The sequence below is a fragment of the Homo sapiens genome, chromosome 12 (genome assembly GCF_000001405.40).
Source record: "Homo sapiens chromosome 12, GRCh38.p14 Primary Assembly".
NCBI lineage: Eukaryota > Metazoa > Chordata > Mammalia > Primates > Hominidae > Homo > Homo sapiens.
The window spans coordinates 122256280-122269682 of NC_000012.12; the positions used below are offsets into that span (position 1 = coordinate 122256280).

Below are 13403 nucleotides of genomic sequence, written 5' to 3' on the forward strand. Positions count from 1 at the left end.
AGAAGAAAAAAAGGCCAGGCACAGTGGCTCACACCTGCAGTCCCAGCAGTTTGGGAGGCTGAGGCAGGCAGATCTCTTGAGGTCAGGAGTTCGAGACCAGCCTGGCCAACATGGTGAAACCCCATCTCCACTACAAATACAAAAATTAGCCTGGCGTGGTGGCGCGTTCCTGTAATCCCAGCTACTCGGATAGCTAAGACGGGAGAATTGCTTGAACTGGGGAGGTGGAAGTTGCGGTGAGACGAGATTGTGCCACTGCATCCCAGCCTGGGTGACTGAGTGAGAATCTGTCTCAAAAACAATTAAAAAAAAAAAAGTTCTAGTCTCCAGAGCAGCAGCAGCGGCACCAGCAGCAGCAGCATCATAAACTCATAAATCAAAGAAACATGGGTAAGTGTGATTATGTTAAAAACATACACACAGCCAAAATTACCAGAAGCAATGTCAAAAGAAATGACAAAGGCGAACGCAGCCTACAAAGGGCGCATGTGCAGAGGGGCCTACAAACAGGCTCATTCTCGGCAGCACTGCCTCCAACAGCGTAGAGAGGAAAAAAATGCTCTCCAACAGAAAGCTGATTTAATACATTATGTACATCCAAACAATGGAACTCTATGCAGCTTCAAATGAGAATAAACAAGTATTGCCATACGTGGTAGAAAATGACTCAGAGATATTATTAAGAGAATAACGCAACATACCAAAGTATATATATCATATGCTACTACTTGTACAAAAGTGGGGAGGGATTATATACTATGAGCTGTAGCTGCATATAATATCCCCCCACCCCAAATTAAAAGAGAAATAGTGATTGCTTCTGGGATAAGGGGCAGTCTGAGAACTGGGGTAAAAAGTAGCTTCAGGCCAGGCACAGTGGCTCACGCCTGTAATTCCAGCACTTTCAGAGGCCGAGGCAGGTGGATCATCTGAGGTCAGGACATCGAGATCAGTCTGGGCAACATGGTAAAATCCCGTCTCTACTAAAAATACAAAAATTAGGCGGGCGTGGTGGTGGATGCCTGTAATCCCAGCTACTTGAGAGGCTGAGGCAAGAGAACTGCTTGAACCCAGAAGGCGGAGGTTGCAGTGAGTCGAGACTGTGCCACTGCACTCCAGCCTGGGCAACAGAGTGAGACTCTGCCTCAAAAAAAAAAAAAAAAAAAAAAAGGGCCGGGCGCAGGTGGAAGCTCAGGAGGCTGGACAACACGGTGAAACCCCGTCTCTACTAATACACAAAAAAATTAGCTGGGCGTGGTGGTGTGTGCCTGTAATCCTAGTTACTTGGGAGGCTGAGGCAGGAGAACTGCTTGAACCTGGGAGGTGAAGGTTGCAGTGAGCTGAGATTACACCAGTGCACTCCAGCCTGGGTGACAGTGTGAGACTCCATCTCAAAAAAAAAAAGATTTTCTTCTTTGTCTGCAGAGTGGAAGATTTATGAAGACTCAAAAAGCACAATCTAAAAGAACAAAAGTGATATATTTACCTGCTTTAGGGTGAAGGACTCACACTTCTGATTTCAAAGCTTATGGCAAAGCTACTGTAATCAAGACAGTGTAGTACTGGCATAAGGACGGACATACAGACATATAGATCAGTGAAACAGAACTAAAAGACCAAAAACAGACCCTTACATTTGTGGACAATTGATTTTTGACAAGGGTACCAAAACAATTCAATGAGGAAAATACAGTCTTTTCAACAAATAGTGCTGGAACAAATAGATATCCATGTGTAAAAAATGAAATTTGGACACCCACCTTGCATTACATACAGAATTAACTTAAAATGGGTTGAAGACCTAAACATAAGATGTAGAAAAATTATAAGCTGGGCGCGGTGGGTCACACCTGTAATCCCAGCACTTTGGGAGGCTGAGGCGGGAGGATTGCCTGAGCTCAGGAGTGTGAGACCAGCCTGGGCAACATAGTGAGACCTGTCTCTTTAAAAAATAAAAAATTATAGAACTCTTAGAAGGAAACATCAGAGTGAATCTTTGTGATCCTGGGGTAGGCAATGGCTTCTCAGAGATGATACTGAAAGCACAAGTAACAAGAGAAAAACTGGATAAAAGAGACTTCACCAAAATTTAAAACTTTAGTGCATCGAACGACACCAATCTCACCAAGAAAGTGAAAAGAACTCACAGAACAAAAGAAAATACTTGGAAATCATGTATCTGAGGAGAGACTTGCATTTAGAATCTATTAAGAATTCTTACAATTCTGTAATAAAAATGACAGAACCCAATTTTAAAAATGGGCAAGTGATCTGAACAGACATTTGTTTAGCTGAAGACAAAGGCCAACAGGCACAAGAAAAGATGATCAACATCCTTAGTCATTATGGAAATGCAAATAAAAACTACAATGAGACACCACTTCATACTCAGTAGGATGACTAAATTCAAAGAATAACAGGCCAGGCATGGTGGCTCACGCCTGTAATCGCAGCACTTTGGGAGGCTGAGATAGGTGGATCACCTGAGGTCAGGAGTTCAAGACCAGCCTGACCAACATGGCGAAACCCCATCTCCACTAAAAATACAAAAACTAGCCAGGCGTGGTGGTGCATGCTTGTAATCCCATCTACTCAGGAAGCTGAGGCGGGAGAATTGCTTGAGCCTGGGAGGCCGAGGTTGCAGTGTGCCAAGATCGAGATCGCACCACTGTACTCCAGGCTGGGTGACAAAGTGACAATCCATCTCAAAAAAAAAAAAAAAAAAAAAGACAGAATAATAAGTCTGTCCATGTGGATATACAACTGGAACCCTCCCACACTGCTGCTGGGAGTACAAACGGTACAGCTTCAGTGCAAAAGAGTTTGGCAGCTCCTCCAAATGTTAAATGCAGAGTTACCACAACTCAGCAATTCTACTCCTAGGGGTGTGTGTGTGTGTATGTATGTGTGTATGTATGTATGTATGTATGTATGTATGTATGTATGTATGTATTTTTGAGACAGAGTTTCACTCTTGTTGCCCAGGCTGGAGTGCAATGGCGTGATCTCAGCTCACTGTAACCTCCACCTCCCAGGTTCAAGCAATTCTCCCGCCTCAGCCTCCCAAGTAGCTGGGATTACAGGCATGCGCCATCATGCCTGGCTAATTTTGTATTTTTAGTAGAGACGGGATTTCTCCATGTTGGTCAGGCTGGTCTTGAACTCCCAACCTCAAGTGATCCATCCACCTCAGCCTCCCAAAGTGCTAGGATCACAGGCGTGAGCCACCACGCCCAGTCTCTACTCCTAGGTATATCTAAGAGAAATGAAACCATACATCCACATAAAAACTTTTCACAATATTCACAGTATCGTGACAGCCAAAAAGTGGAAACAACCCATCAGGTGTCCATCAGCTGATGAATGATAATATCATTACAATGGAATACTATTCAGCAATAAGAAGGAATGAAGGCCTCGCGCAGGCTTCAACCTGGGTGAACCCTCAAAACATTACACTAAGTGAAGATGCCAGACACAAAGGACCATTTATGTATTATAGAATTTCATTTCTAAAAAATCTCCAGAATAAGTTCAAAACCAGCCTGGACAACATAATAAGACGCTGTCTCTCCAAAAAATAAAAATAGAAAAAAAAAGAAATTAAAAAAAAATTAGCCAGGTGTGGCGGCACATGCCTGTAGTTCCAGCTACTCAAAAGGCTGAGGCTGAAAATTCGTTCAAGCCTAGGAGGTCAAGGCTGCAGTGAGGTATTATCACGTCACTGCACTCCAACCTGGGCAAAAGAGTGAGACTCTATCTCAAAAAAAGAAGAAAAGGAAAACTCCAGAATAAGCGAATTCATACAGACTGAACTAGATTAGTGGCTGCCAGAGGCTGAGGGAAGGAAAGATAGCGACAGACTGCTACTGGGCATGGGGATTCTTTTCGGAATAGTTAAAATGTGCCATACTTAGAGAGTGGAGATAGTTGCACAACTTTGTAAATACACTAAAAACCACTGAATTTTGCACCTTAAAGGAGAGAATTTCATGGCATTGTGAGTTTTTTTTTTTGTTTTTTGTTTTTTGTTTTTTTGAGATAGAGTCTCCCTCTGTCGCCCAAGCTGGAGTGCAGTGGCGCAATCTCGGCTTACTGCAACCTCCACCTCCCGGGTTCAAGTGATTCTCCTGCCTCAGCCTCCTGAATAGCTGGGACCACAGGGACCCACCACCACACCCGGTTAATTTTGTATTTCTAGTAGAGACGGGGTTTCCCCATGTTTCCCAGGCTGGTCTCAAACTCCTGATCTCAGGTGATCCACCCGCCTCAGCCTCCTAAAGTGCTAGGATTACAGGCATGAGCCACTTACCTCAGCCAGTATTGTGAGTTATAATAAATAAAGCTAATATTTTAAAATTTTAAAATTTAACTACTTTTAATGGGAAGTGTCTACATGATAAAAGACATTATACACAAAGTTAAGCCAGGCGCGGTGGCTCACGCCTGTAATCCCAGCAGTTTGGGAGGCGGAGGCGGGCGGATCATGAAGCGGATCCTGGCCAAGCAACATGGTGAAACCTTGTCTCTACTAAAAATACAAAAATCAGCTAAGCATAGTGGCGCACACTTGTAATCCCAGCTACTCAGGAGGCTGAGGCAGAAGAATCCCTTGAACCCAAGAGGCGGAGGCTGCAGTGAGCTGAGATCGCGCCACTGCGCTCCAGCCCGGGCGACAGAGCGAGACTCCGTCTCAAAAAAACAAAACAAAACAAAAAAACAAAGTTAAAAGACAAGTCACAGACTGGGAAGATACTTGCAGCTTTTATAATCCATAATGATCAACATCCAGAATATACAAAGAATTACTCAAAAAGAAAAAACGGGCAAAGAAAATGAACAATTTGTTGAACAGAAAATCTTAAACATCAATAAACATATAAAATGGGACTCAGCTTCACAGTAATCAGTACTGTGGTATGCTCACACTCATAAACTGGGCAAAAATTAATGCCTGAAGTTAAGGAAATGCCAAACTTACTTTGAATGCACCCTCTGATTCCATGGATAAGAGATCCCCATCGAATGGAATGAGATCTAAGCTGTACTCCTCCCTGTGAATAAAGGATCCCAAGACACCCAGATCCTTCAACCGCTGTTCGCACAACAGGCTACGGCGTGGCACAAACAGAATATGAAAATCTCTCGTTGGGCCTCGTCTATCTTCACTGCAAAGGAAGCAACATTTGTTAGCTTATGAGCTCCTAAGAGTCATGGACCATTTTGCTTTTTTTATCCCCACTGCCTGGCACATAGCAGGCACTAAATAAATGCTGGCTAGATAAATCATATAAATACTGACTCTCAGGCCGGGTGCAGTGGCTCACACCTGTAATCTCAGCACTTTGGGAGGCCAAGGCGGGCGGATCAGTTGAGGTCAGGAGTTCGAGACCAGTCTGGTCAAGGTGGCAAAACCCCGTCTCTATAAAATATACAAAAATGGCTGGGCGCAGTGGCTCATGCCTGTAATCCCAGCACTTTGGGAGGCCGAGGCGAGCGGATCACGAGAACAGGAGGTGGAGACCAACCTGGCCAACACGAAGAAACCACGACTCTACTAAAAATACAAAAAATTAGCCGGGCATGGTGGCAGGCACCTGTAATCCCAGCTACTTGGGAGGCTGAGGCAGGAGAATCGCTTGAAACCGGGAGGCAGAGGTTGCAGTGAGCCGAGACCACGCCACTGCATTCCAGCCTGGGCAACACAGCGAGACTCCATCTCAAAATAAATAAATAAAAACTAAAACAAAAATATACAAAAATCAGCTGGGCATGGTGGTGTGTGCCTGTAATCTCAGCTACTTGGGAGGCTAAAGCAGGGGAATTGCTTGAACCCTGGAGGCAGAGGTTGCAGTGAGCAGAGATTCCACCACTGCACTCCAGCCTGGGCAACAGAGTGAGACTGTGTCTCAAAAAAATAACCAAAAACTGACTCAGACCCAACGTGTTACAGCTGTACCCACTCTCTCTCTCTTTCTTCCCCCTGACAGGAAAGCATCACTGAGTCCTGGCGAGTACATTTTAGCATTCTCTTAAACCATTTATGGGGCATTGAAGCTCTCAGGTTGATTGAAATAGGATATCTGTGTCTCAATAAAAACAAATGGTTCTTCAACCAAAGCAATGCAGCCACAAAGAGTCTTAAATTAAAATGAAAGATCACTTTTGACTCCCACTCCTACTCTCCTTGACAGAGAACTTCCAAAAATAGCCCATATGCTTTTAAGATTTTAGGGGCTGCAACAATCAATTGTACCACAGAGTGCAGACTCGGCTGGGAGCACTTCCTCTATAGACTGGATGCTATATTAAAATTTAATCAGCTTTTTTTTTTTTTTTGCTTATGAAATTCAAGTACATGCAGTATATTTAAAAATAACTGCTGGAGGTTTATTTTTTTAAACTAGGGCCCTTTTTACTGACACAGGTTTAAGCTTTTGGCTATCTTTAAAGAATGGGTAGCTTTTGGCTATCTTGAAAGAATGGGTAGATAGGATGATCCTCCTCTCCAACTGCTGACAACAACTTCCTAAGTTTCTCATCCTCTCTATTTTTAATTTTTGGGGGGTACATAGCAGGCGCATGTATTTATGGGGTCCATGAGATGTTTTGATGTGGGCATGCAATGTGAAATAAGCACATCACGGAGAATGGGGGGACACATCCTCTCAAGCACTTACTCTTTGAGTTACAAAACAATCCAATTACACTCTTTTTTTTTTTTTTTTTTTGAGACGGAGTCTCCCTCTGTTGCCCAGGCTGGAGTGCAGTGGCGCGATCTCAGCTCACTGCAACCTCTGCCTCCCGGGTTCAACAGACTATCATGCCTCAGTCTCCCGAGTAGCTGGGACTACAGGCACAGGCCACCAAACCTGGCTAATTTTTGTATTTTTAGTAGAGACGGGGTTTCACTATGTTGGCCAGGCTGGTCTCGAACCCCTGACCTCAAGTGATCCACCCGCCTTGGCCTCCCAAAATGCTGGGATTACAAGTGTGAGCCACCATGCCCAGTCTCACTTTTTAAGTTTAAAAATACGTAATTATTATTAACTATAGTCACCCTGTTGTGCTATCAAATAGTAGGTCTTATTCTATTTTTTGTTGTACCCATTAACTATCTCCACCTCCCCCCAGCCCCCATCTTCTCTTTTATATTCTTCCATGCCTATCTCAGTTTTCCAAAAGACCACCTTGCACTGGCAAGAGTGAGGGTCTTCCATGAGAAGGAGCTCATAAATTAAAAGCATTATAAGAACCAAACTCTTTTGGATCAAACACAAGCTCTGAGATACCTGAGCACGTTTTCAGCGATTATATCCATCAACTCTAGCCTGGGTCTGACAAAAAAAATTATATTCTTCACATCAGCTGCCGGCAAACGATTTCCTTTAAGTGTGAACATTTTTTCCACTTCATGTTCCTAGGCAAACACATACACAAAAGGTTAACAAGAAGACTGAAATTTACCTATAATTTTCAGACTCAGAAATCATAAATACCCCCAATCAAGTGCACATTAATATTTTAATATCAAAATTTAGATTCCCTCAAAGCCAAATACATAAAGGACAAAGTTTCAGTAGAAAGCCACTGTTACTGCATCAGCATTCAAATGACTCTTACATGATGATGAACTATCAAAGACACCAGGAAATGGTCACATAATATAATGCTAGAATCAGTATAGAATCACTGGCCAATGGATACAAAATGTTAATCGGGCACTAGTATTAGTGTTTATAAAGACCAAACAGCTTTGCAAACCAATGATTCAGGAAGAAATATAAAATCCTATTGTAACTGCTAAAGTACAGAATTATTAATCCCCTAACAAAACCCAAATAGCTCATTTACCTTCAATAGTGAATACTGTGCAATCAGGCCAAAGGGTCCAGTTAGGTATTCATCCCAAACTATTGCCTGTAAGAGGGGAGAAACATTCTCTTATTATAGTTAATATCAGGAATTTTAACAATACCAATAAAAAATAGCCTAACAGGAGGAGTATTTGCTTCAAATTCTGAGTTAAAAAATTTTATCCTAGTGTTACAAAATTAAAATAATAATAATACATAAAGGAGAAAAAAGAATTTAAAAATTTTTTGGGGTTTTGCTGTTATTTTGTTTCTGAGACGGAGTCTTGCTGTGTTGCCCAGGCTAGCGTGCAGTGGTGTGATATCAGCGTACTGCAACCTCTGCCTCCAGGGTTCAAGTGATTCTCCTGCCTCAGCTTCCTGAGTAGCTGGGATTATAGGCATGCACCACCATGCCTGGCCAATTTTTGTACTTTTTGTAGAGATGAGGTTTCACTATGTTGCCCAGGCTGGTCTTGAACTCCTGACCTACGGTGATCCACCCGCCTCGTTCTTCCAAAGTGGTGGGATTACAAGCATGAGCCACTGCACGCGGCCGAATAAAAAAAATTTAATTACCTCTGACCACATTCATATCCTTAGTCTAAAGAAAAATAGCATCCAGGGCAAGCGATGCTACTGTTGGTCCTGAGAAAGGAGTTAATCACTGTCCTGAACAGAAAGAAGGAATTTTAGTTGTTGTATATCTGTGTCATGGTATCATTAAATTGAGCCATATGGAAATTGTCAACTATACAAAATTAAAACCTACAATATAGGTATTACAAATCTTATTTTGGCAAAAGAGGATTTTTTTTCTTTTTTTTTTTTTTTTGAGATGGGGCAGTGGTGGAATCACAGCTCACTGCAGCCTCGATTTCCTGGGCTCAGGTGATCTTCCCATCTCAGCCTCTGGAGTAACTGGGACTACAGGTGTGTGCCACCACATCACGCTAATTTTTATTTTAGTAGAGATGAGATTTTGCCATGTCACCCAGGCTGGTCTCCAACTCTGGGCTCAAGCGAGCTGCCTGCCGTGGCCTCCCAAAGTACTGGGATTACACCGCACTTCCTATTCCACCACGCCTGGCCAAAAGAGAAAATCCTTAAAAGCTCAGTAAATTCAAGTAACTTTCCAAGGCCATATAGACCTTGGACCATACAGAGTGAAAGGGAGTGAGGACTCCAACCTAGGACTTTTTGACACCATGAGTCATTGCTTTGGGCCCCTATGAGTATTTCTACCGCTAAACTCCAGTATCATTTCTTTTTCTTATTTATTTAAATAATTGTACATTAACGTTTAGTTAAAAGAAATAATACAGAGCGAGCCCCTGTACACTTTGCTCAGTTTCCTCCAGGGGTAACATATTACAACCAGGATACTGACATTGATACAATCCATGATGTTATTCAGATTTCAGCATCCTTTTCTGAATTGAAACTGGGCCCCTATGATGTAGACTGCTTTCTTCTCTCAAAGGCTGCTAGCACCCACTTTACCTCTTGGGGTTCTGTTCTCTACAAGACTGAGGCTCCCCAGTTCGACTTTTCACAGTTGTACTGTCAGTAACTTAGGGTGACTGATAAACCCTAAGGGGATGAAGGAGAGGTGACACTGTTTAAAAGAAATCCTATAAAATCTCTGATCTAGTTCCTGACTCCCTTGTGAAAAGGGTGCTACTAGAGAAGTTATACTGTTTTAGGAGGCCAGGTTAAAAGCCCAAATGATTACAACTTCTCTCATAACACGCGTGAGCAGCAGGTTGCAAGGTGCAGGTGTTTCAAGAGAGCTTCTAAGGTACACGTATGATCCCTGTAATGAATGGACACTGGACCATCCACATTCTTGGACCGCTCACCCGTCCGGTGCCTCGGCAGGCAGCGGAGGAAACACCTGACGTAAACCAGCTCATCAGCTGCCGGGCTATCACAGTGGCTTACTCTGCTCTCACAAAACAGTCGCGGTGCCACTCCGGCTCCAGGCTGTACGCCCAGGGCCCCCCCCTTCATCGCTGCCTCCTGCACAGGGGTGCAGGTAAAAGGGCCCTGAGGCTCGCCTCCTTGGAAGCCCCAAGGACCTCATAAACCGCGAACTCAGGCGGTCAGGGAACGGATTAAACCAGGCCGGACCAGGGGAGGCGAGGGCGGTGTCGCTGCCTCCCGCCCCTCACCTTGCTTCCTGCGCACTTGTCCAGGAACTCGCGCAGCTCGCGACGCACCGCCTCGCGCAACACGTTTAGGTTCACTCGGCCGTAGGACAGATGAGCCGCCATCTTGCTCCACCACCCCCTGCCCCACAACGCCAACCGAGTCCGCCGGTTCCTACGGGAGGACCACGGACGCAGTCACGTGACCAAACGTCCACGTGACCGGTACGGCAGCGCACGCCAACCCGGAAACCGGAATCTGCTGGGTTCGGGTTCTACCTAGTCTGGCCCTAGTGTCCGCCTCTTTCTTCTACCCCGGTGGTTATTCAGATTCTCGCCAAGACCCAGAGCGCGTTTCAGAGTCTGGTCACTCCAGGAGTCGTCGGGCGCTGAAAAGCGATTTTAAAGATCTGGAGTAGACCGGGCGCGGTGGCTTACGCCTGTAATCCCAACACTTTAAGAGGCCGAGGTAGGAGTGATCGCTTCAGGCCGGGAGTTTGAGACCAGCCTGGGCAGACTTCGTCTCAAAAAAAAAAAAAAAAGACATTGACTCTCTCTTGTCCCTTTTAAAAATCGCGAATTTTTATTTGCAGCAAAGGTACTTGCTGCAAGATGATATCTTAAGGCTAAACTTGGATAGGAAAAAAAACTTTTTTTTTTTTGAGACAGTGTCTCGCCCTGTCGCCCAGGCTGGAGTGCAGTGACGTGATCATAGCTCACTGTAGCCTCCACCTCCCGGGCTCAAGTGATCTTCCCACCTCAGCCGCCAGAGTAGCTGGAACCACAGGTGCGCGCCGCCACCCACTGCTCAAATCTTAAATTATAGCAGTCAGAAGTTTCTTAGCTTTGCACTAATCAAGGCTGTTTTAATTTCTGAGCTAAAATGTATCAATATGGTGAGGAGTCGAGGGAATCTTGAGTGGACTTTTTTTTTTTTTTTTTTTTTTGGGTAATCCCTAACAGACTTTTACAGTGACATGACATTTCACACAAATAGTATTGCTTCTGGAATCCAGGTCCCACCATTTGCCTCAGTAAAATTCCATGTTACCTCTGAGTTGTAGTGAGGATCAATGAGGGTATGAATTTCATCGTGCAGTCCACGTGAGAGGCTTAACTGGGTGCCTGGAACTTAATTGCTCAATAAACTATTAATATTAGTAGGATATATGCGTTTTGATACTTTGGGGTGGAAATGGGCCTTTGGGATCTGGTCAAAGATGAAAATTTCCTTCTTTGAGTGCAAAGCTTCCTTTTTTTTTTTTTTTTTTTTTGAGACGGAATCTTGCTCTGTTGCCCAGGCTGGAGTGCAGTCGTGCCATCTTGGCTCACTGCAATCTCTGCCTCCTGGGTCAAGCGATTCTTCTGCCTCAGCCTCCCGAGTAGCTGGGACTACAGGCGCGTGCCACCACGCCCGGCTAATTTTTTGTATTTTTAGTAGAGATGGGGTTTCTCCATGTTGGCCAGGCTGGTCTCGAACTCCTGACCTCATGATCCGCCCGTCTCGGCCTCCCAGTGCTGGGATTACAGGTGTGAGCCACTGTGCCCGGCCTCCTCCAGCATCTTCTATACAGTTTACATTATGAAGCACTTATCATAGAGTCTGAACAAGCAGAGTGATATTTGTGGATGGTGCAGAAAAGCAGCCACTCAACCAAAAACTTCTGTTCTCAATTTGATTCCAGCAAGGACATTTAGATTTTAATAATTTAACACACATGGAGGCCGGGCACGGTGGCTCACGCCTGTAATCCCAGCACTTTGGGAGGCCGAGGCGGGTGGATCACGAGGTCAGGAGATCGAAACCATCCTGGCTAACACGGTGAAACCCTGTCTCTACTAAAAATACAGAAAATTAGCCGGGCATGGTGGCGGGCGCCTGTAGTCCCAGCTACTCGGGAGGCTGAGGCAGGAGAATGGCGTGAACCCGGGAGGCGAAGGTTGCAGTGAGCCGAGATCTCACCACTGCACTCCAGGCTGGGCGACAGAGCGAGACTCGTCTCAAAAACAAAAACAAAACACACATGGAAACGCTTCCATGCTTTAGTTCTCAACCTGGTTTTCAAGGTGGTTCTCAGCCTCAACAGAGATTTATTTTTTTATTTTTTTATTTTTATTATTTTTTTTTTTTGAGATGGAGTCTCGCCCTGTCGCCCAGGCTGGAGTGCAGTGGCGCGATCTCGGCTCACTGCAAGCTCCGCCTCCCGGGTTCACGCCATTTTCCTGCCTCAGTCTCCCCAGCAGCTGGGACTACAGGCGCCCGCCACCACGCCCGGCTTATTTTTTTTCTATTTTTAGTAGAGACGGGGTTTCACCGTGTTAGCCAAGATGGTCTTGATCTCCTGACCTTGTGATCCGCCCGCCTCGGCCTCCCAAAGTGCTGGGATTACAGGCGTGAGCCACCGCGCCCAGCTTTTTTTTTTTTTTTTTTTTAATAGAAATGGGGTTTCCCTATGTTGCCTAGGTTGGCCTCAAGCTCTTGGGTTCCAGCTATCATCTGGCCTCAGCCTCCAGAGTAACTGGGACTACAGATGCCTGCTACTGCTCCTGGCTGATAATACACAATTCTTTTTCTATATACAGACTCACAGCCAAGAGAATGCATCATGTTAACGCCTGTGAGAATAAAAGTTGTGTTCAGCAGGCCATGTCATGAGCTGTTAAATGAGGGTATAACTTACTCCAAGAGGTGAAATGCCCCAGGTTAGTGAAATCTCAAGGATGTGTGAGTGTAACTAAGACTAGGATGATAAACTATCCCCAAGCAGGATCAGGATGCTACAAAATGATGAAGTAACAACAGGTGCTTTTATAGACCAGGAGAGACAACTGCTATAGTTACCCTACAAATACTGCAGACTTGTTTAGAGTCTTTTAATCACCTAAGGTCAGTACCAAAGTTGAGAACTACTGTGTTTTAATGTATTATCTAGGTAGAAGTAATGTTCTTATTCAAGCAGTAACTGCTTTGGAAATACCTACCTATGGGTGAGTCCTTGGGTCCTGACGCTGGCTGCCTACTTGACAATGACTCCCAACCTTTCTTCAGTCTTCAGTACCTGAATACCGTCCTTCCCACCAACTTCCCCACCCCAGCTCTCTCACCACCCCTTTCCTAGCATACCTCATCCAGACTCTAAACATAACTGAATCTACAGGTTTTAAGACCCTTCTCCATATCCCACCCACTGTCCGGTTTCCATCCTTGGGTTCTTCCAAGATGTTTTATAAACATTTGTTTATAAAACAGATGTTAGGTGAGGCATGGTGGTGCACGCCTGTAATCCCAGCACTTTGGGAGGCTGAGATGGGCAGATCACCTGAGGTCAGGAGTTCAAGACCACCCTGGCCAACATGGTGAAAGCCTGTCTCTACTAATACAAAAACTTGCTGGGTATGG

General features: G+C 44.8%; 1 protein-coding gene across 5 annotated transcripts in view, besides 5 other annotated features; it reads right to left on the bottom strand.

The window, feature by feature from the left end:
* The window catches only part of VPS33A (VPS33A core subunit of CORVET and HOPS complexes), a 36931-nt gene extending 26716 nt beyond the window's left edge, over window positions 1-10215 (bottom strand). For 3 of the 5 annotated variants that reach the window (NM_001351020.2, NM_022916.6, NM_001351021.2), the window contains exons 1-4: window positions 10028-10215; window positions 7855-7920; window positions 7293-7420; window positions 4982-5168 (exon numbers count right to left, since the gene is read on the bottom strand). In NM_001351020.2, the coding sequence (NP_001337949.1) occupies window positions 4982-5168; window positions 7293-7420; window positions 7855-7920; window positions 10028-10129 (483 nt within the window). In that variant the 5' untranslated portion in view covers window positions 10130-10215. Of the gene's footprint in view, window positions 1-4981; window positions 5169-7292; window positions 7421-7854; window positions 7921-9715 lie in introns of all 5 variants that reach the window. The other 2 variants (NM_001351018.2, NM_001351019.2) reach the window with 2 other exon arrangements.
* Window positions 9333-9422: a silencer, noted in NCBI's record as "silent region_5013". NCBI's record gives its function as "represses an Ori minimal core promoter by ATAC-STARR-seq in GM12878 lymphoblastoid cells {active_cell/tissue: GM12878}" and the evidence as "EXISTENCE:reporter gene assay evidence [ECO:0000049][PMID:35858748]".
* Window positions 9333-10216: a biological region, named in NCBI's record as "NANOG-H3K27ac-H3K4me1 hESC enhancer GRCh37_chr12:122750160-122751042".
* Window positions 9334-10216: an enhancer, noted in NCBI's record as "NANOG-H3K27ac-H3K4me1 hESC enhancer chr12:122750160-122751042 (GRCh37/hg19 assembly coordinates)". NCBI's record gives its function as "activates a minimal SCP1, AML or CMV promoter by ChIP-STARR-seq in naive H9 embryonic stem cells {active_cell/tissue: H9 hESC(naive)}" and the evidence as "EXISTENCE:reporter gene assay evidence [ECO:0000049][PMID:30033119]".
* Window positions 9743-9892: an enhancer, noted in NCBI's record as "active region_7212". NCBI's record gives its function as "activates an Ori minimal core promoter by ATAC-STARR-seq in GM12878 lymphoblastoid cells {active_cell/tissue: GM12878}" and the evidence as "EXISTENCE:reporter gene assay evidence [ECO:0000049][PMID:35858748]".
* Window positions 9913-10052: an enhancer, noted in NCBI's record as "active region_7213". NCBI's record gives its function as "activates an Ori minimal core promoter by ATAC-STARR-seq in GM12878 lymphoblastoid cells {active_cell/tissue: GM12878}" and the evidence as "EXISTENCE:reporter gene assay evidence [ECO:0000049][PMID:35858748]".